At 42.3% G+C, this 20,737-nt stretch overlaps 1 long non-coding RNA gene across 1 annotated transcript; it reads left to right on the top strand.

Moving 5' to 3' along the window:
* The first annotated feature begins 813 nt into the window (after window positions 1-813).
* Window positions 814-20,133, top strand: LOC105378021 (uncharacterized). Its single transcript, XR_943062.2, has 3 exons — window positions 814-853; window positions 11,700-11,821; window positions 20,007-20,133. It is a non-coding gene; the product is annotated as an uncharacterized LOC105378021 (long non-coding RNA).
* The last annotated feature ends 604 nt before the right edge of the window (window positions 20,134-20,737 follow it).

Raw genomic sequence — 20,737 nt, 5'->3', positions numbered from 1 at the left:
ACCAGCTGTTATTTCTTGCAGGAACTCACTAAACCCAAGTGATCTCAAGAAAATATGTCCCAACAAAAATGATTTTTGCCCTAAGAGAAGTCTCATACCTGATACTAACAAAACGAATATTCTCTGTCCTGTTACGTATATTAAAAAGAAATATCATGGCAGCAATAGGTATTCTCAAAGAGACATATCCAAGGTACTCGAGGTTCACCAAGGATGAGGGGTCCACTCGGCTTGGGAGTTTAGGAAGAACTTCCTGGAGGTGGTGGCACAGCTGTCAGGCTCTGGGAAGCAGTTGAGAATGGAGGTATAGTTTTGCTGACCTCAGCATGGGTCTAGCTTGGTTTCTCAGCAGCGTCATAGCTGAGGTGTCAGCTATCAGGAGGTGGTTGCCCCAGACAGTTGAGAAGAGAGAACCTAGAGACAGGCACACCCATCCCAGGGGGCAGGGAGGATGCTCCAGGGCAAGTGCAGCTGCAAGCAGTGGCAAGTCCGGGCAGGTGGAGCATGGCATGTGGAAAGAATGGGAACTAATGCCAGGGGGCAGTCCAGGCAGGCAGTGGCATCAGGGAGGGCTGGCCAGGCAGGTTAGGGTACGAGCCGGGGAGCAGTGTGTAGGGATATCACAGCAGAGCCAAGACAATCTGAGAAGATGTGGGCAGGCAGAAGAAACAGGACATAACTGAAAAAGTGTGTGTGTGTGTGTGTGTGTGTGTGTGTGTGTGTGTGTTTGAGATGGAGTCTGCTCTGTCACCCAGGCTGGAGTGCAGTGGTGCGATCTTGGCTCATCGCAACCTCCACCTCCCGGGTTCAAGTGATTCCCCTGGCTCAGCCTCCTGAGTAGCTGGGATTACAGGTGTGTACCACAACACCCGGCTAATTTTTTGTATTTTAGTAGAGACAGGGTTTCACCATGTTGGCCAGCATAGTCTCAATCTCTTGACCTCGTGATCTGCCCGCCTCGGCCTCCCGAAGTGCTGGGATTACAGGCTTGAAGAAGGGGTTTTAAGAGCAAAGCTCCCCGCTGGGAGGGAGGGAGTGGGATGGCAGAAGCTAAGGAGGTTGTTGGCCTAGAGGAATTAGGGTGCAAACTGGGTGTTATCTGGAGCACAGGGTCAGGAGATGCTTAACATTAAGGCCAACATCAAAGTGAAGCTGAGGTGCTAGAAGCCGAGCTCCTCCAGTTCTCTCTGATGAAGTTCAGAGGCACCACTGAGCCGGTGGGGTGGGTGCTGAGTGGGAGGAGACTCTGGCTGGTGGTCAAGGACAAAAGTTCAGGAAGCTGAGTAGAGAGCCAGGCAAATCACTAGTGTCTTCTCCAAATGCACCCAGCCATCACCTCCCAGCCTCAGAGACTCCCCTAGTTCTTCCAGAACTTGGGGACGGTTCAACTCTTTCTTATTCTAGACTAGTATCTTTATCATAATTTTAGGGCCTGATTCTAGGCCAGGAAGTTCTCTTTTTTTCTGATGTTAGGGATATTTCCCGCTGGGGCTGAGTGAGACACTGCAGGGTGAGGCCGTGCATACGATGTCTTCCGTGGGGGATGGCACCTATGGAATGTTAAGAACCTGGGTTCTGGAGCCAGAATGCTTGGGTTTGAATCCTGGCCCTAGCACTTACTGGTTGTGTGACCTCGGATAAGTTATTTGACTTCTCTTTGCCTAATTCTTCTCATCTGCAAGGTGGGGATTAATAATAGTGCCTACTTCATAAAAAGTGATTGTGAAGATCAATTCAGTTAATTTAGATAACAAACATTTAGAACAGTTCTTAGCACTTAATAAGCAATCAATAAATATTCAGTTATTATTAGCAATTATTTCTCCAATGATGAGGAGGCCTGAGGAAGATTCTGTGTGGATCTAAGGCTATTCTTCACTGGATAAAATATATTTTGAGTGTCTACCATATACCAGGTATTGTTCTAGGAACTTGGGATGTATCAGTCTACAAAACAAACAAAACACCCTGCCCTATGTCACCTTTTTCTGTTGACTGTAAAACAGAAAGTAGGATTTTCGGAAATTTTATCTATGGGAGTTCCAAGGACCCTTCTATGTATATATTTTTTCTGTATAATTGTTTATAAGACCTGAAGTAGCAAGTACCAAGCCCAATTCAAAGGCCTCAACCAGGACAGGCCAGACCATATTATGACTACTTCCTTTCGGGAAACACTGATACCCTTGACAAGCCTCCTTTGAACCAACTTCTTACTCAAAGTAGGGTTGGTGGCATACTCTAGAGCTGGGCTTCTCAACCTTGGTGTTACTGGCATTTTGTACCGGGTGATTCTTTATTGAGGGGCTGTCCTGTGTGTTGTAGGGTGTTTAGCAACACCCCTGGCTAGATGTCACTCACTGGATGTCAGTAGCATTCCCCCAGTTGTGATAACCCAAAATGTTTCTAGATTGCCAACTCTCCTCTGGGGGCAAAATCATCCCAGTTGGGAAACACTGCTCCAGAGGCTGACCAATGCCACAGTGGACAAGGCTGCTTAACACCAGCTGCAGTGACCACTCTGTTCCGCCTCTTTCGTCAGTGGAGCTTCTCTGGCACCCAGAACCCAAGAGCCTTGGGTTCTTGATATTCTATGCTGCTCAGGATTTCTGCAATCTTATCACACAAATAGGTAGTTCCAAGAGCTCTCTGACCCCGGCTCACTCATGACATGAGGGTGTGTTTGTGGATTAGGGATAGGAAGAGAGAAAGGCAGCTGCTCATTGTCACTATAGCAAGAGTCTCATCCAGCACTTATTTAGATAGGTAATTGAGTTCACTGCACTTGGGGAGATAATCAGGTATGATTGGTGGGGGACCTTTTTCCTTTATTCTATTTGTCCCTGTCCTCCATGTTACAACACTGCCTACGCTGAATTTGACTCACCTGGGTGTGTTCTGAGGCTGTGCGATCCAGCTCAGGAGCCCTAACAACTAGTCTTGAAGTTCCTAAAACCAATTGCAGACAGGGAGTATGCCCAGGAACCCTGTCACAAGGCAGGACTTAGCAGTGGTGGCTGCTGGCTCCAAGCTAAATTGGATTTTGAGGGCCCGGAGTGCCTGCATTCATCCACCACCATCTCTCCATGGATATTCACTGAACCTTACATATAAGAGCCTAGTTCACTATGCATTTCTAGAATGGTGGCTATTCTTCTAAGGTGAAGGCCACATAACTGAGTTGTTTTAGAGTAAAAACTGAATCTGGTATTTATATTAGGACATTGATTTTGAGGGGACACCTGTATTTTTTATTTTTTTAATCAAATCTTACTTCTTTGTAAATTGCCCTTTGGAAGATGCGGGCATGCACAGCTCAAGGGACTCATTTCTTGCAAATTTTTAAAATGGTTTTCCAATTCAGCTGTATGTTGCTTAGTGCTGTCCTTAACAACTGCACTTCTTGATCCTGCTTCCGATGCTTCTGGTTCTTTTTAGTAACTCAGCCCATTTAAACAGACCTATCACAATATCATAGTAGGAGTGTGTGTATATATAGAGAGACAGACAGTGGAGAGTTTGTAAATTATGTGCCAGGGCTTGCTCTGAAGCCAGCTGGGTGCATGGTGGTAGCATTCTTGCTTGACTTGGTCATAGCTGTCGATGCCTTAGAGGAATAGTTTCATACCGAAACTCGTTTTCTCTTAAAAACCTCCCTCAGTTATCTCTCATTTTAGTTTGCTCTGAATCATACAGCTTAGCTAGTTGAAATGGGAACCCTGTGGAGGTGATTTGCTCAGGTTTACTCAAGTCAGTGTCTCAGAATAACTGAAAAGCTTTCTATCCTGGGAAATGTCATTCTTCAAGTCACCTGAGTGGGTCCTGAAGTCCTGTCATTGCTTTGCCAAGTTCTTTCTCCAGCCATTGGTAAACTTGACAGAGAATCAGGTAGAACTATTTTCCCCCTCGTTTCTCTGAACATTTATTGGCTTAGTGTATATGTTCTCCAGTATTGGTCCAGCCCAAAGCCCGGAGAGCTTAGGGAATGGGAATGATAGACAGTTGTTCGGAGGCTCTGTTCTCCCCCTTTCCCCAGAGAGCACTGCTCTTGGCTATGCTTTCTCAATAGCACCTTCCTTCTCCTGAGAACTTTCTGTTCAAACAACATGTATAAACCTGTGCAATCTCACTTCACAGTATCTGTCTGCATCACTCAGGGGTTTAAAAATAGTGCGCCCCAAGCAAGACTTATATTCTCATTGCCTCACATTATCAGACCAAATACAGAATTGGGTTCTGGGAGACACTCTGCAGCTTGATATTTACTCCTTCAGCCTGAAATTCACAAGGGCTGTTTTCAAAATCCATTTTGTCAGACTTCTGGGAGGGCCTTTATGAACAAAGTTATGGCAGAACAACTGAGCCTGAAAAGGAGCCAATAAATTCAGAATGAAATGAACAGTGGAGCTCAGGAAAATATGGTCTCATGAAGTTGAGGACAGAATAAAAACATGGTCTCAGAGTTGTCTCTAGAATAAGGATACTACTGGCTAATCATGACAGAGATAGAAAGTGGGCAATGTTTCCAAATAACTCAGCATGAGGGCCAGATCAGCCCAGCGTTCAGCTGACAAATTTCATGTGGCAGTGACTCCACCCTTTGCAGCTCAGCCCCACTCCTCCTTGCCCAGGCTCCTCCTTGGAATGGCTTCTCTCTGTCACATGTCACCTTGCAGCACCTCACCCAGGCTGGCTTTGGCCTTCTAAATACCCAGCCAAGTCCTAACTTTGCTCTTCATTGCTGTTTGCTTTTATCTGTGTTTTCAAATTAATTTTTCCATGGAGGTAGTTACTGAAGACACTTTATAGAAAAATAATATATAAAATCCCATATACCACAGGATATTTTGGCGGGTGAGTGAGGGCCCTTCTTCCTTCTCCACTCCTTCTCCTTATCCCCATATCTGTTTTCAACCAGGTACACTTGTGAGACTCCATTCTGTAACTCAAGGCAGAGGAAAGAGATTTTCCGGAATTAGTGGTTGATTGGAAGAGATGGGAATAAGCTCTATGTTTTCTCTAATTCTGAGATGAAGCACAAATGACAGTACTATTTCCTTGTGAGACTTAAGATTCTAGCAATGGGCAATGGTCAGAATTGAGGAGACCTTGTTGGAGCCAGGCATAATAAGCGTAGCAGCCTTGGGGGCCGTGTAAGCCATGTGTCACAGAGTGAAGGATTTGGTGTGTGGCAGGGATTCCGGAACTGGGTGGAGAGTTGGCCTTGACAATTTTTAGGGTCCCTTCTAATGTTATCCCTTGATATTGAAGTTTCTTAGTAATTTCATAATTCATGTGATTAAAAACACATTACCATAAGGTAATACTTCCATTACATGTGGGTGTTTTCTTGCAACATTGTCAAATAGATTTTAAATAACAGATCTAAAATGTGGATTGATTTAAGGCAGAATTTAAAAACAATCAATTTACTTGGGACTAGCAACAGAAATTTCTCTCATTTAGAATAACTTCTAGCAAATATATAGGCAAGTTAGCAAAATGACAGCCAAGAAACTGGCCTGGCACAACCAACACTGACAATAACCATCCCAAGTAGGTGGCATGGTTTACACAGCATAGCTTCCTTTAGATTCCATGTGGTTGCAGTCTCCATTCTGAGCAAAATGATGGCTTCTTACTGCTCATTGTCAGAGGGCTGGCGCAGCTCTCTAGGAATGGCCATGGAGAACGAGTAAAGAATGTTCTGGTGCCCATGACATGGAGCCTACCACTGCACAGGAAGCTCTGTGCAAATCCTCTGCTGAGATATGTGCTGCAGAGAAATGGTTTCCAAGGCATGACTACGGACTCCGGCAGATCTAGTCTAACCCATTGACATTCATCTGGGGTAAAATGGCAGTGATATTATTTCTTAGAGTTAATCTGATTACTTTATAAAATTAATTTAATTTGTTCCAATTGCGTTCTTCCCATCTTTAGATGTTCATTGCCCTTTCATTTGAGAAACAATGTAAGAGGCCAGGCGTGGTGGCTCATGCCTGTAATCCCAGCACTCTGGGAGGCCAGGGTGGGCAGATCACGAGGTCAAGAGATTGAGACCATCCTGGCTAACATGGTGAAACCCCGTCTCTACTAAAAATGCAAAAAGTAGCCGGGCATGGTGGCATGCGCCTGTAGTTCCAGCTACTTGGGAGGCTGAGGCAGGAGAATCGCTTGAACCCAGGAGGCGGAGGTTGCAGTGAGCCGAGACCACGGCATTGTACTCCAGCCCTGGCGACAGTGTGAGACTCCATCTCAAAAAAAAAGAAAGAAAGAAAGAAGGAAAGAAAGAAAGAAAGAAAGAAAGAAAGAAAGAAAGAAAGAAAGAAAGAAAGAAAGAAAGAAGGAAGGAAGGAAGGAAGGAAGGAAGGAAGGAAGGAAGGAAAGAGAGAGAGAGAGACAGAGAAAGAAAGAAAGAAAAAGAAAGAACGAAAGAAAACAAGTAAGTCATGAGTTGGAAGTGTCTGGCACTCATTCCAGATGAAACAAGGAGTGGCCCCTTGGGAGTGGGAACCTGCAGCATCATCTGATGGGCGAGTCGGGCTGAATGAGGTTGGCTCACTCGCCCCAGTGCTGGGAAGTACTGCGTGCACACTACAAGCTTTACCTGTCTGATGGCTCAGAGAGCCGTGGGCAATTGCTAAGGACCTGGTTGTAACCATTGGCACCAAGCCTGCTATGAAAAAACCTGAAAGAAGATCATGCAAAGCCAGAGTAGGAAGAATCAGAATATTACTTTTCTACCATGGTGTGGGAGACTGAGAAATTTAGCTTGCCTCTGTGGGGAGAGTTTTTGGACACGTTCTCTGCAACTTAAAAGGACTTGAGCACTAAAGGTTTTTTGCTTGACACTGCCTTGCCTGAAGGCTTTGGTGTGTGGGGAATATTGGAGTCTGTTAAGTGGCATTGTGTTCTAATGTAATTAGCATAATTATTTAGGCTCAAGGACAAGCCAATGAGGCTGGGTAGTGGTGATTGGGGGGGTGATATGACTTCCCCTTAAGTGAGTGGCATTCTCAATATCTACTGTTTGGAGTGGGTAGGGGTAGGAGGCAAATGGAGAAGAATTTATTCACTCAGCTCCTTTTCCCATTGGTTGCATATTGCTCCTGTGGGATTCATGACATTAATTCTCCAGAATTTTTGGGTTGTGATTACAGGAGTTCCCTGAGAAGTTCTCAGATGATTTATACCTCAGCATCAACAGGGAAGCCAGGGTAGGTAGCAAAAAGTATGTGGCACTGGCATGAGACAGGTGCTATTGGGTGTGGCTGCAAGAAGTTCTTCAGAGTAAGTGGAAAAAGCCAAAGACCTCAGAGGGGTGAGGCCAAAATGATCTGATGTGGCGCCTAAGGAGTATTTGATGCAGCCCGCCCCTTGCGCCACTCAGATTCAGTTGCACTCTCTAGTGTTTCTAGCACCACAATGAAAATATGGAGCTGCCTTTAAAAAATTTTATTTTTATTTTTTATTTTCTTAGAGACAGGGTTTCATTCGGTTGCCCTGGCTGGAGTGCAATGGTGTGATCATGGTTCACTGCAGCCTCAAACTCCTGAGCTCAAGCCATCCTCCCGCCTCACTTCCTGAGTAGCTAGGACTATGGGTGTGCACCACCATGCCCAGTTAATTTTTAAGCTTCCGTTTTTGCTAGAACAAGATAGTCTCACTTATTCCTTAAGAGAAAAAGTGTAAGTTCAATGTCATAGAGTTTATTGCAAGGTGTAGCCAGTCACATCTCTAAGAAGACTAAAGCAAGAAGATCAGTGAAGTAAATTGCAGTTCCTAAAGTTGTAGCTGGTCCTGTGACCGTAATTGATTTTCATCCTCTTTCTGCTACACCATCCATTCTAGAGTTCCCTTTTACTCAGCCATCACTGAACTGGCCTGGAGGATTTGCCTGATGGTTGACTCAAATTCTTATCCTTAAGGTATCCAGGCTTCTAGGTTGCCTTGCTTTTACTGGGCTCTGGTACTTGTTATTGCCCATTTATCATTCTCACTGGGCGTGGAATTCCCAAGAGATGCCCCAGTGTATCTCCTGGATTCTAAACATATTCTTTCCTGCCCCATTGTGTAGAAAAAAAAAAAAACCGTAGAACTTCATGTGAATCAGGGTGAATTACTTCCATGCTAATATAACTCCTTTCCAAGTTTGCTGGTCCACCGCAAACGACTTGGTAGTAGTTATAGCTCCAAGTTCAATGGAACCCTTATTGTGTCCTTTGGCTGAAGTTTTTCCCCAAAGAACTGAGACTTCTAACCTGGCAGTGCCAAAGTTTGCTGGAAGGGAAGCATAGATTCTATAAACAGGACACTGAGAGGGATGGGGAGAAGGTCCATTTCTACTTGCACAACTGGGTTTCAGGTCCCAGGCATTCAAGCTATGGGGGATGTAGTACTCTATATCCATCCATGGTCCAATGTGTCTAGCAGATTCTAGAGGCAAGTATCCCAGAACCATGGGGTTTTGAGCCTAATCTGGCTCCTTACCTAACAGACCATCATTCTGTTAAACCAAATGCCTCTGAATAAGGGGGTGTGTGATAAGAACTGCAGATGCTCTGGTCATGTCATTTTTTGGTACCTCCGTTTCTGTTAAAAAGGTTCCTTGATCTAAGGCAATTTTGTACAGGGTACCAAGTCAATAGTTCAGGCATTCTATGACGCCTTGGTTCATGGTGCTTATAGAGCGGTACTACAGGTGGAGGAGGCAAGTGTATATCAGGAATTGATCGCAATTCTGGTAAAAACTGTTAGGTTTGGAATTAGATTTTACCTTACTTTTGAAGGTAATAAGTTAACCTGTTACTATTTTATGGATTCTGGCAGAAGATATAAGACTCTTAGATCAGAGACAAAGACTTTTACTCCCAGCACAGCAAGCAGCATGATATATGTCAGCTCCCCTGTCTCCAAGTCTCATGGGGGTATGATAGAGGGCACAGATAGATGTAGTAAGTTTGTATCACAACTGAGGAATATGCAGCTTGGGAAACCATTGTTTTATAGAAAGCAATAAACAAACCTTCTCTTTGTCTTGGAGGGAGATATTACTTCATCTCTCAAGGTTGATTACTGCAAACACAACCTTGATAAATGACCTGGCAAGAGCTGTGAGGGCCTTGCATTCTTGTCATACCCAGCAAGAACACGCAGGGAGGCTTAGAGTCTACAGCAGTTGCCTCCCCTAACAAGAACAAATCCTTGCTTCCTCCAGCGCAGAAGGGGCCAATGTTATCAACTTGCCACCAGGTGACTTTATGGTCTCCCTGAGGAATGATTCCATGTTGTGGGTTCAGCATCCATTACTGCTGCTGGAAGGTCAGGCGATGACCAGTATCAATAACTAGATTAGGCTTGGCAAGAGGGAGCCAAAACACTGAGGCAATGCGGTCTCTATCCATGGGCCCATTTTCCAAGCATAATGGTGGCCAAAGAGAGAGGCTGGCTGACATCCATAGGACAAGTCTTCTCCTCCTGCTGGCTGAGTGCCACTCTGCAGTGGATACTCTGTTGAGTGTTTAGGGGAGGGGCAAAGATCCTTGTGGTTTATGTCCATTCACATTGGTCCATCTATATGCCTTTTAGCAAACTGCCAATCTTGCTCCTTCAGAGAAGTTTACTCCTGGTTAAAAACCAATGTGTGAGCTTTCAGGCCTGTCCAGAGGCAATGACAAAGGCTCTAGCTGGCAGGCCTCAGGGGCAAAGCTGCCCTCCCCACCCCAGATGAGATGCACAGTCCATGCATAGTGCACAGCCACAGCCCTTGCATGGCAGCCTCTGAAGGGAGATGCAACAGAGGAATCAGGCTTTTCACATGCTTGCATTCCCATACTAGTCCTTCATTCCAGGTCTCTCTATCTGAGGCCTTGGGCACAGATCCTCTTCAGATGCATTATGAGGGAAGAAGGAAAAAACCTTGAAAATGCATACCTTTCCCCACTGACTCAGCGCCCAGTACTTTTCTACTCCTCACACTCCCCTTGACCCCAGGGTTCATAAACTGCTGAAGCCTTTTGTTTTGAGCTCCCTAGCACTGAGATGATGCCCATATCTGTGCTAATTCAGCTGACCCTTGACCTGCACACCATTCCTTGGCAGAAGATTGCTCAGGGTGGTTGGCACTTTCTCTTCTCGTACTATGGTAGTAAGTGATTAAAGGCCTAGCCCTTTCTGCCTCTCTTGACTCCTTTTGGATTGTTGCTTTAATTGGCTACTCCAATACCCGGTAGCTCAGCTCTTTCTGGGCTCAGCTGAGTCTCCTAACACCCTTGAAGTCAAGCAAGTTTTCCACTGTCCAGGAGGTCATATGTATCCTTACCTTAGGCTGTTTTTTTAATAATTGAAAGCTATAATCCCATAGCACCTACCACCTGTATCAGCAAAGAAAAGAAAACTACTCAAGGTATTTCAAATAGGAAGTTCAATGTCAAGAAAACAGTGGGAAGGGCAGGGGAGCCCAGTCACTCCTGGCTCTCAGGAAATCGGGAATTTCAGGAATTGTGGGCAATCACCACTGACTATCTCAGGTGGCTGTAACACAAAGGGGGTGATTTCTAGGACTCTGAATAAATTGCAAAACTTCGTATCTGCCGTCTGTCAAAGGCCTGCCTGCCTACTGCAGTTGGAGCAATAATGACCTCCCTTTCTCTCCTACCTCTTGAAGCTCATATGAGTGCCTCTCAGTGGTGGGACTTAAACTGGAATGTTGTTGATAAGACATAATGGAAGTGTAGCTTTCAGGCTTCCGGATCTTGTGTACAGGACAAGTCTAGAAGGGAGCAGGAATGGTATTGTTATACCTAGACAATCTGGCGCAACATATCATATTACAATTGTATGTCTTTCTCCTGTTAGGAACAGTTTCTCACATCTTTACATCCTTGGTGCCTTATGCATTGACTGGCATGATGTAGACGTTCAGTGGGCTTAGTCCACTAGCTTTCAAGGAGTCACAGCCTTGAAATGTAGCTTTCTCTAATGTTTTAGTAAATAATGAGTAGTTTTAAGACACATTTTTTCCTACTATCTTATTTCTAAGTCTTAAAGCTTAATAATGGTTTCTATAATAATAAAAACTTCCAGTCACTCTCAAACTATCATCCATGGCCCTCGCTTTGCTGCTATTTGTTTCTGTACTAGTCAATAGGAAGGGAATGAAACAGAGTATAGCTCTCTACTGGAAGAAAAAATTATTTGGTCTCATTTCATTCCCCCCAAAATGCATCAAACTATAGTAACTCAAAAGTTACAATAACAATAGGTAAATAAGTAATATTTGCATAATGCTCAAACACTTGTACAAAGACTTTCTCCTTTCTCTCAAACCAACCCTGTGGGGAAGACAATATCGTTTCCACCATTTTATTAACAAAAACTGCCTTAATAAGTTGAGATACCTCTTTCTCTCCTTACTTAACAACTTTTAAAACCATGTTTAAGCATTTCACGATGTTTCTGTCTTACATTAGCAGGTGCATAAACACTAGGTGATAGAAGTGCAAATTATTTACTATTTTTGGCCATGAAATTGAAAAATATTGAACAGATTGGCAATATCAAGTGTTGGGAAAGTGTGGGAAAAAGACTCTCTGGTATACTACTGGTGCTAATAGAAACAGAATTTTGGGTAGTCATTAAAACAAAAATAAAATAACCTTTTCTGTAACATTTGTTCTTTTATGAATCAATTATAGAGAAAACTCTCACTTGTCAGAATGAACATGGAAAAGAAGGTTTCCAGGTGCCCAGTGAAAGGCAGAGCAGCACTCACAGTCTCAGAGAATGGGAAAGTGTCTCTATGGCAAGCAACAGAAAAGTGAGTATTGAAATATGATATTAGCATACTATGTAATGATTAAAAAGAAGAGGTAGATCAATGCATTAATATGGCAAGTCTCGAAGACAAAATGCTGAGTGAAAAATAAGCAATTTGCCGGATAATAGGTAAAATGTTTTATATACATACATACATATATATTTAAAAATCTATAATTTTTTCATATATATTTATATAGACATTTATATTTTTATTTAATATATTTACTATATAATACATATTTTTATTCATATATTTATATATCATTATATGATATATGTCATATATAAGTATATATTATATGAGATATATAAAATATTATAATATAAATATTATCTGTAAATGTATAAACTATAGATTTGGAGGAATAGCCACACAACTGAAAAAAATGGTTAAATCTATGAAAAAGAATAAGATTAAGAAAGTCAGGAAGAAGGCATTTTATATAGTTTAAATTGTTTGCATTTATGTGTTGACATTTAAAAGTAATTCATATTCTTCACAATGATGCATATTTATATATTACTTGTGAACTTAAAATGATGAGAACTGCCAAGAGATTCTCTTCCTTCATTTGAGAGACTGGAGAGGAGGGATCATTTATGCTGCTCTCTTGGTAACTCTCATCAGTCCTGGTTCCACTGTGGTCAGGTCACCCTGACAGGGCGCTTTAATGTTGGCCCACCTGGCAATGTAACACTAGTTCTCTTGTGCTCCAGCCTCACATGACACTGTCCCCAGGATCTTGAACAGAGTGGCAGAAGTCAGCTTGCTCTTGCTACATACTTCTCAGTAAAGACTAACTTCTGTGGTTAAAAGTACATCCAGCATACGTTCCAGTTTATCTTGGAAACTCTCTCGGAGTCTGTTGATGTGGGTCTTGAAACATCAGGAATGCCAACAGAATTGGCTCCTGCTAGTGAAAGGTGCTGAGTCTCAGCCCTTCTCCTTTTGCCATCTCTTTGGGTTACCAGTGGCATGAGACTAGAGATGTATGACTGCGATAATTTGGATAAGGCTCTAACCCAAATTGTCTTAAAGTCTCCTGCTGATGGCCGGGCGCGGTGGCTCATGCCTGTAATCCTAGCACTTTGGGAGGCTCAAGCGGGTGGATCACGAGGTCAGGAGAACGAGACCATCCTGGCTAACACGGTGAAAACCCGTCTCTACTAAAAATACAAAAAATTAGCCGGGCGTGGTGGCGGGCACCCATAGTCCCAGCTATTCGGTAGGCTGAGGCAGGAGAATGGCGTGAACCCGGGAGGCGGAGCTTGCAGTGAGCCGAGATCCTGCCACTGCACTCCAGCCTGGGCGACAGAGCAAGACTCCATCTCAAAAAAAAAAAAAAAAAAAAAAAAAATTCTCCTGCCGATACACTCTCAGGAATCTGCCTGCTAAGTGGCTGGTTTGAAGCTGTGATAGTTATTGGCAGAGTTTTGATACTATAAAGGTACCCTGAACCATTCTGGGGACTATAGCTCAGTCAAAATTTTCACACAGTTACTCTTATAAAAATCATATTCATCCTTCAATAATGATGGTTTGTCATTTTTAATGAAAACAGTATCAGGTCTCCTGATAGTTTTACAGCCAATTCTTTTTTATGGGCCATGTCTAAGTGTATTATTGTTAAATGAATCCATGCTGTATAAAGTCAAAACAATGTAATAACTACCTTCTCTAATGATTTCATTTTCCTATAAAAGGCATCCTTTATTGATAAATAATTCATATTAATACCTTATATTCCTTAGGCAGGTTTTCAAATTATTATTTAAGCATTTAGACACTGGTCAGTCTGGAACCATATAGTACAAATAACAACATTCCAAACTTAGAGTGGAGGTGGGACAATAAATTCCAGGTTATAATGTAGCTGATGGCTCAGTCCATCAGCATCCAATTTTATCTTTCCTGATAGTAGCCTACTCTGTACTTAGCAAAAGAATCTCTCATTGCCTGTGTGGCAACTGAGCCATGAGAAGGTTTGCAAATCTGCAGCACATCGCTTGCCACCTCACCAGCTGGCGTCCATGGGGTCATTGCTAGTTGATCTTAGTGCTCTTTCTAACTGAGCTATATATGCCGTCAGAATCCTTCCCAAAAGATACTGTAAGGCAGCCACTAACCATTGGTGTCAGAACATGATGCTCATTTTGTAACAGGTTTATCTTATTATGGATAATACCTCATTGTCCTATTACGTTATGGGCTGAATTGTGTCTCTCACACAAAAATTCAAGTGTCAAAGTCCTAATCCCTAGTACTTTGGAATGTAACTGGATTTGGAAATAGGGCATTTAAGGAGTAATTAAATTAGAGTATGGGCCCTAATCCCATATGATTGGTGCCCTTATAAGAAGAAATCTGGATACAGGCATATAAAGGTGGAATGCTTTATGAAGACACAGGGAGAAGACAGATGTCTATCAGCCAAGGAGGGAGGCGTAGAGCAGATCTTTCCTCCATAGCCCTCAGACACCTTGATCTCAGGTTTCCAGCCTCCAGGCTATGAGAAAATAAATTCCTGTTTTTTAAGCCACCCAATCCATGGCACTTTGTTACTACAGCCAAGCAAACTAATGTAAGTCTCATAAACTGGACAAAAGTAGAGGTAAAACTGAAAGTGATTCAGAAACTTCTTGATTTCTATGATAAAAGAAAGAAATCCTTTGCAATTTGTTTATAGGCACACTCTTAAGTTAATATTATTCCTTAGTATTGAACTGTAAGCTATTGGTGATACCCTACTGTTATCTGGCTTGTTGTAAGTTCCACTACCATTGAGTAAAGCTGCTGTAAAAAGGAACATAGTTTCATGCACATTATGGAATACTAGAACAGATCTGGAAGGCAGAAATTGAATTTGTATAGTGAGTCTAAAAATATGAAATGGCTGTGTGGTAGGCAGAATAATGACCTCCAAAGATGCCCATCCTAAACCTCAGAATCTGTGATTATATTACATTACATGGCAAAGAGGAATGAAGGTTGGAGTTGGAATTAAGGTTGCTAATCAGCTGAACTTAAAATAGGGAGATTAACCCAGATTATTGTGGGTGGTTCCAGTGTAATTACAGGGTCCTTTAAAAGTGGAGGAGGTAGGCAGATGAGGAAGTCGAAGTGCTGAACTATGAAAAAGCTCAACTCACTATTGCTGGCTTTAAAGATGGAGGAAGGGTCCATCAGCCACGGAATACAGGTGGCCTCTGGAAGATGGAAAAGGCAACGAAACGGATTTTTTTTCCAGACCCTCTTAATAGGCATGCAGTCCTGCCCAGACCTTGATTTCAGCCCAGTGGAGACCTGTGTCAGCCATCTGACCTAAGATAAAGTTATGCTGTTTTAAGCCACTAAGTTTGAAATAATTTGTTATGGCAACACTAGAAACTAATAAAAGCTCCCATAATTGATTTAATCTTATATTTGCAATGCTAATGCTAATTTCAGAGAAATTGGGCAGAATCTGATTTGCTCGTGGAATAGTTGCAGCTGTTGTTTTGTTTTAAAAGTAGGTGTGTCCTGGATGATCCTTATTTTATTCTCACCTTTACCCTTCAAACTTTCCCCTTTGTCCTGTATTTCTCATTCTTTCACACCAAAACACCAGCAGAAACCCTTGGTTTCCTTATTTTTTTATTTTTTATTTTTTTTTGAGACGGAGTCTCGCTCTGTCGCCCAGGCTGCAAGCTCCGCCTCCCGGGTTCACGCCATTCTCCTGCCTCAGCCTCCCGAGGAGCCGGGACTACAGGCGCCCGCCACCACGCCTGGCTAATTTTTTTTTGTATTTTTAGTGGAGACGGAGTTTCACCGTGTTAGCCAGGATGGTCTCGATCTGCTGACCTCGTGATCCTCCCGCCTCGGCATCCCAAAGTGCTGGGATTACAGGCGTGAGCCACCGCGTTGGCCCTGGTTTCCTTATTTGTTTTGACGATGTTACCTTTGTCTAGTCACCTAGACTCAACTCTGAAGGCAACTTCGACTCCTCACTCTGAGAGGGAGTGAGAGAAATGGAGAAAGACACACAGACTGTGAAAACAAATAGGACCGGACTGAGGGGGTCCCGGTCCTGTTTGTTTTCACAGCCTGTGTGTCTTTCTCCATTTCTCTCACTCCTTCCTTTTCCCTGCCATCACCACAACTCTGCTTTCGACCCTTGATTCCTTTCGCTTGTCCAGATTTCTTAACTGATCATATGGCCTTCAGTGTCTACACATGCCAATTCCTTTCTCCCCATTTTGCCAGAAAAATCTTAATATACAGAACTAATGATCTCCTTCCACTCAAGGCTGTTTATCAAGGCTTTCTAAAGTGAGGCTCTAATCTCTCTCTCCAGCATCCACATACACATGCCTTAGGCTTTAGACTGGTGGATCTCAACTGTGGTACACAAGAGGTTCATGTGAGTAGCTTTTGAAAAACACTGATTCCCTGGCCCAGTGAATCAGATCTCTGGATGTGGGGCCCAGGAAATTGATACTTAAAAAAAATTTCCTATTTAATAATAATGTCTGACCAGGACTGAGACCCATTGCTCTAGCCAGGTGGTCACATACTGTAGTGTGCATCAGAATCCCCTGGAGGGGTATAGACATGCAGGCTGTAGGACCCCAGCACCTGGGCTTCCAATTCATGAGAACTCAGGTGAGACATGATACTTTTCCTTTCTTTTTTTATTTAATTGTGACATAATTCACATACCATAATGGTAACCCTCTCAAAAGGTACAATTTAGTAGTTTGTAGTATATTTACAAGGTTCTGCAACTATTACCACTATCTAATGCTAGAATATTTTCATCACCCTAAAAGACACCCATAGTAGCCACTTCCCATATCTCCCTGTCCCCAGCCCCCAGAAGCCACTAATCTACTGTTTCTCTCTATATATTAACCTATTCTGACATTTCATATAAAATGAATTACATAATATGTGGTCCTTTGTGTCTGGCTTCTTTCACTTACTACTATGTTTTCAAATTTCATTCATATTGTAACATGTATCATTATTTCATTCCTTTGTATAGTTGGATCATATTTCACTGTATGGATATATCACATTTTATTTATCCATTCATCAGTTGATGGACAGTTGGGTTGCTACTACTTTCTGACTATTATGAATAATGCTATTATAAAGATTCATGCACAAGTTTTTACATGGGCATAGGTTTTCATCTCTCTTGAAATACATGCCTAAGGGTGCAGTTACTGGGTCAGATGTTGAAACCTGAGAATTTGCATTTCTAACAAGTTCTCAGGTGATGCTGAAGTAGATGCTCTGGGAATCACACTCTGAAAACCACTACTACCCCCAAACTGGACTACTGACCCTGCCCTCAAATACCATGCATTTTTTACATCTGTGCTTTGTTGGTCAGTTGGCTTGAAGTGCTTTCCTTCTCATCTCCACCTTGTGACATCCTATTCATTTTTTAGGCCCATCCCCAAGGCTACCTTCACCATGAAGTCTATGCAACCATTATCTGTGTGTGTATTGTTCATGTTCCCTTGACTGAATTGTAAGCTCCTATGTGCACTGTTGTGTTTGAATCACTTTTATGTGAGAGCCCTGGCCAGGCACGGTGGCTCATGCCTGTAATCCCAGCACTTTGGGAAGCCAAGGCAGGTGGATCACGAGGTCAAGAGATGGAGACAATCCTGGCCAACATGTTGAAACCCTGTCTCCACTAAAACTCCAAAAATTAGCTGGGTGTGGTGGCATGTGCCTGTAGTCCCAGCTACTTGGGAGGCTGAGGCAGGAGAATTGCTTGAATCTGGGAGGCAGAGGTTGCAGTGAGTTGAGATTGTGCCACCGCACTCCAGTCTGGCAACAGAGCGAGACTGCATCTCAAAAGAAAGAAAGCCCTGAAGCCTAGCAGAATGTTTGTTGTTGGCACTCATTAATCATATATGTTCAGTTGAACGGAATTCCAGGTCTGTTGACTTTGTAGTCTAACGAGATGACCCTAAAACATGTGACTTTACATTTTTCCATTTTTTAAAAATCGGGTAAATCCCAACAATTTTGTACCTCGATTTTTTTTTTTTTTTACAAGTTCCGCCCTAGCTTGTCTCATGATCAGGAACCAGAAGGTCAAATGACAAAGATCCCTTAAGTTTCTATTATTAAAGGTATTTTTATGACTATTTCTTGGACATCAAAGTTACTGTAATCCTACAGCCTAGGTCTCTGTGGAATGTTGGTTTATGACTGGGAAAGCAAAATTTGCCTTTCAATGGATTACTTCAAACACACCTGCCATTTCAAAGTAGTGTGCAAAATGATAGTGCATACCCACTTATGTGTTTACCTTCCCAGTTCCCCAGGCATCCATGCTGTGAGCTGAATCTTTAAAGTGGCTAGGAATTCCCCTCAGTTAGATCAAAATTCCCCTCAGTTAGAGCCCCCTTGTTGGTGGAAATAGTTCCACTATCCTCTCTTGATGGTACTGGAAAGTCTCCATTGTCACATTTGACCTTCTGGAAAGTCAGGAACCACTCACATTTCCTGTTGCCTAATTTCCTCCTAAGGCACATAGCACTGAAGAAAGGCAGTGTGCTAATTTCACCCTCAACCATCATTGAAGACCTCTTCCAAGTCTTTCACTCCTTTTCTCTGCCTCCAGGAGTCACACTTTCTGCCTGCACAAGGATTCTTGTGAACCTGCTCACTCTAGCCAGCTTCTATCACATCTACCTGTAACAGTCTTTTTCCAATAGTATTTTGTTTATATTTATTAATGAGCTAGGAAAGATAGAATTTCATGCTTGATATGACTGTAGTATATCCTTAAAAGAGAGAAAATGAGGGAACATGTTGCTTTTTAAAAAATTAAGCTAAAAAAAGCTAGGCTGATTAAAATTCTAGAAGCCAACACTTAGAAATGGAGTAGAAAATGGTTTGATAATGACATATCCAAACATAAATAAGGCAGTTTAAAAATCAACCAGTGGGAGTGGGGGAGAAAAAATGGCTGACCTAAGTCACACTGGGAAATGGTGCTTTGACGGGAAACTACAAGACTAAGGACAAAAGGAATTGTACATAAATGTTGTATTCTAGTTGGCAAGGTTGTTTCTCATGAGGGTGTGAGTTAATTCTGAAACTTCTGTACATGTGTACTGCAATTGAACAAACAAAAAATGGATGGCAGATTATGGGAGCCAGGGCTTTTCACTGTTGGAGAGAAAGGTTACAGCTGAGTGAGGAGAAAGGCCACCATGAACCATGTTGGATTAGATCTGGAGACATCAGAATGAACTGATATCTAGCTTAACATAGACACAGATGAATAGATATAGAACTAATTACAGATATGCATATATATGTGGGTTAGTGTGCATGTATTTTCTAGCTCTGTCTGCTGAGAGGGCCTATCCACGACACCCCAGCAACAGCAAGCACACCTAGCATCCAAATTCTGGTTTCTAATGCCGTTCTCCAATATAAGCAACTAGAGTTCTTGGGAGAAATGATGGATCCCAGGGCCAATGGAAAGAATATACAAGATAAGCCTGGAACATCTTGTCATGCCAGAGTGTAAGGCTGTGCTCAAAAAACAAAACAGTGGGGCTACGTCAAACAATGGGGATGTGCCAAAGAGACACAGGAGCCAACCAAAATAGCTCCCAATAGCCAAAGCCGAACAATTTTACCAACAAAATAAATAACAAAATACTGGATTATAAAGTATAAAATCCATGACCATACTGATAAAATACATGAATTAAGAAATAAATGCAGAAGACACAAATGAAAAAAATCAGTCAACTGCAAGTTTCATTCCCATTCGCATATCACCTTGCAATTCCTCTCTTGGCCTCACTCAGTGTCACTCACCTTCCGACTTGTGCTCTCACCCAGTGCTGCCTCCAATACCTTGATCATGTCCCCAGTCTCCTACAACTCTCGAGTTTATCACATGATGATTATCCTACCTCCTTGCCATAGAGAAAACTTGCTCCTTCTTTCCAGGATATGATGCTTCTTTGTGGTCCTCTCTGGTGTGGACTGTGTACTCACCATTACTCCTCTTACCATTAGGCAAGTCAGAATTTTTCTTGTTTTCCATTCCTGCTTCATGCAAAACCAGTTTCCCTTTGTCATTTTCATGTACCAAATATATGAGTTCCCAGCACAGTTACTGACAATATATTTCTTCATTTATCATATTTCTTTCTAGCTTGTCTCACCATCATTATCTCACCAAATCTACTCAGAGGTAAAGAGGACAAGCTCTCACCAAATCTACCCAGAGGAAAAGAAGTCGTTATATGAAAAAGATACTTGCACACACATGTTTACAGCAGCACAATTCGCAATTGCAAAAATATGGAACCAGCCCAAACACCATCAATCAACAAGTGGATAAAGAAATTGTGGTACATATATACCATGGAATACTGCTCAGCCATAAAAAGGAATAAATTAATGGCATTTGCACCAACCTGGATGGTATTGGAGACTATGATTCTAAGTGAAGTAACTCAGGAATGGAAAACCAAACATCATATGTTCTCACTCATAAATGGGAGCTAAGTTATGAGGATGCAAAAGGCGGTAAGGATGATAAATGGACTTTGGGGACTTGAGGGGAAAAGGGTGGTAAGGGGATGAGGGATAAAAGACTACAAATTGGGTTCAGTGTACATTGCTCAGGTGATGGGTGCACCAAAATCTTACACATCACCACTAAAGAACTTATTCATGTAACCAAATACCACTTGTTCCCCAATAGCCTATGGAAATTAAAAAAAAAAAAAAACTACTAGAAAAAGTCTATACCTCATATTTTAAAGACTAGAGTAAGGTGTAAATAAATAAATAAATGTATAAGTATTCATCTCATTTTATATACTAGTTCAATTATTTGTGCTTTTAAAGTCTAACTACATTAACCTTTACTTCATTTTG

This window comes from Homo sapiens, chromosome 6 (assembly GCF_000001405.40).
Source record: "Homo sapiens chromosome 6, GRCh38.p14 Primary Assembly".
NCBI lineage: Eukaryota > Metazoa > Chordata > Mammalia > Primates > Hominidae > Homo > Homo sapiens.
This window is presented reverse-complemented; position numbering and strand designations above follow the sequence as displayed.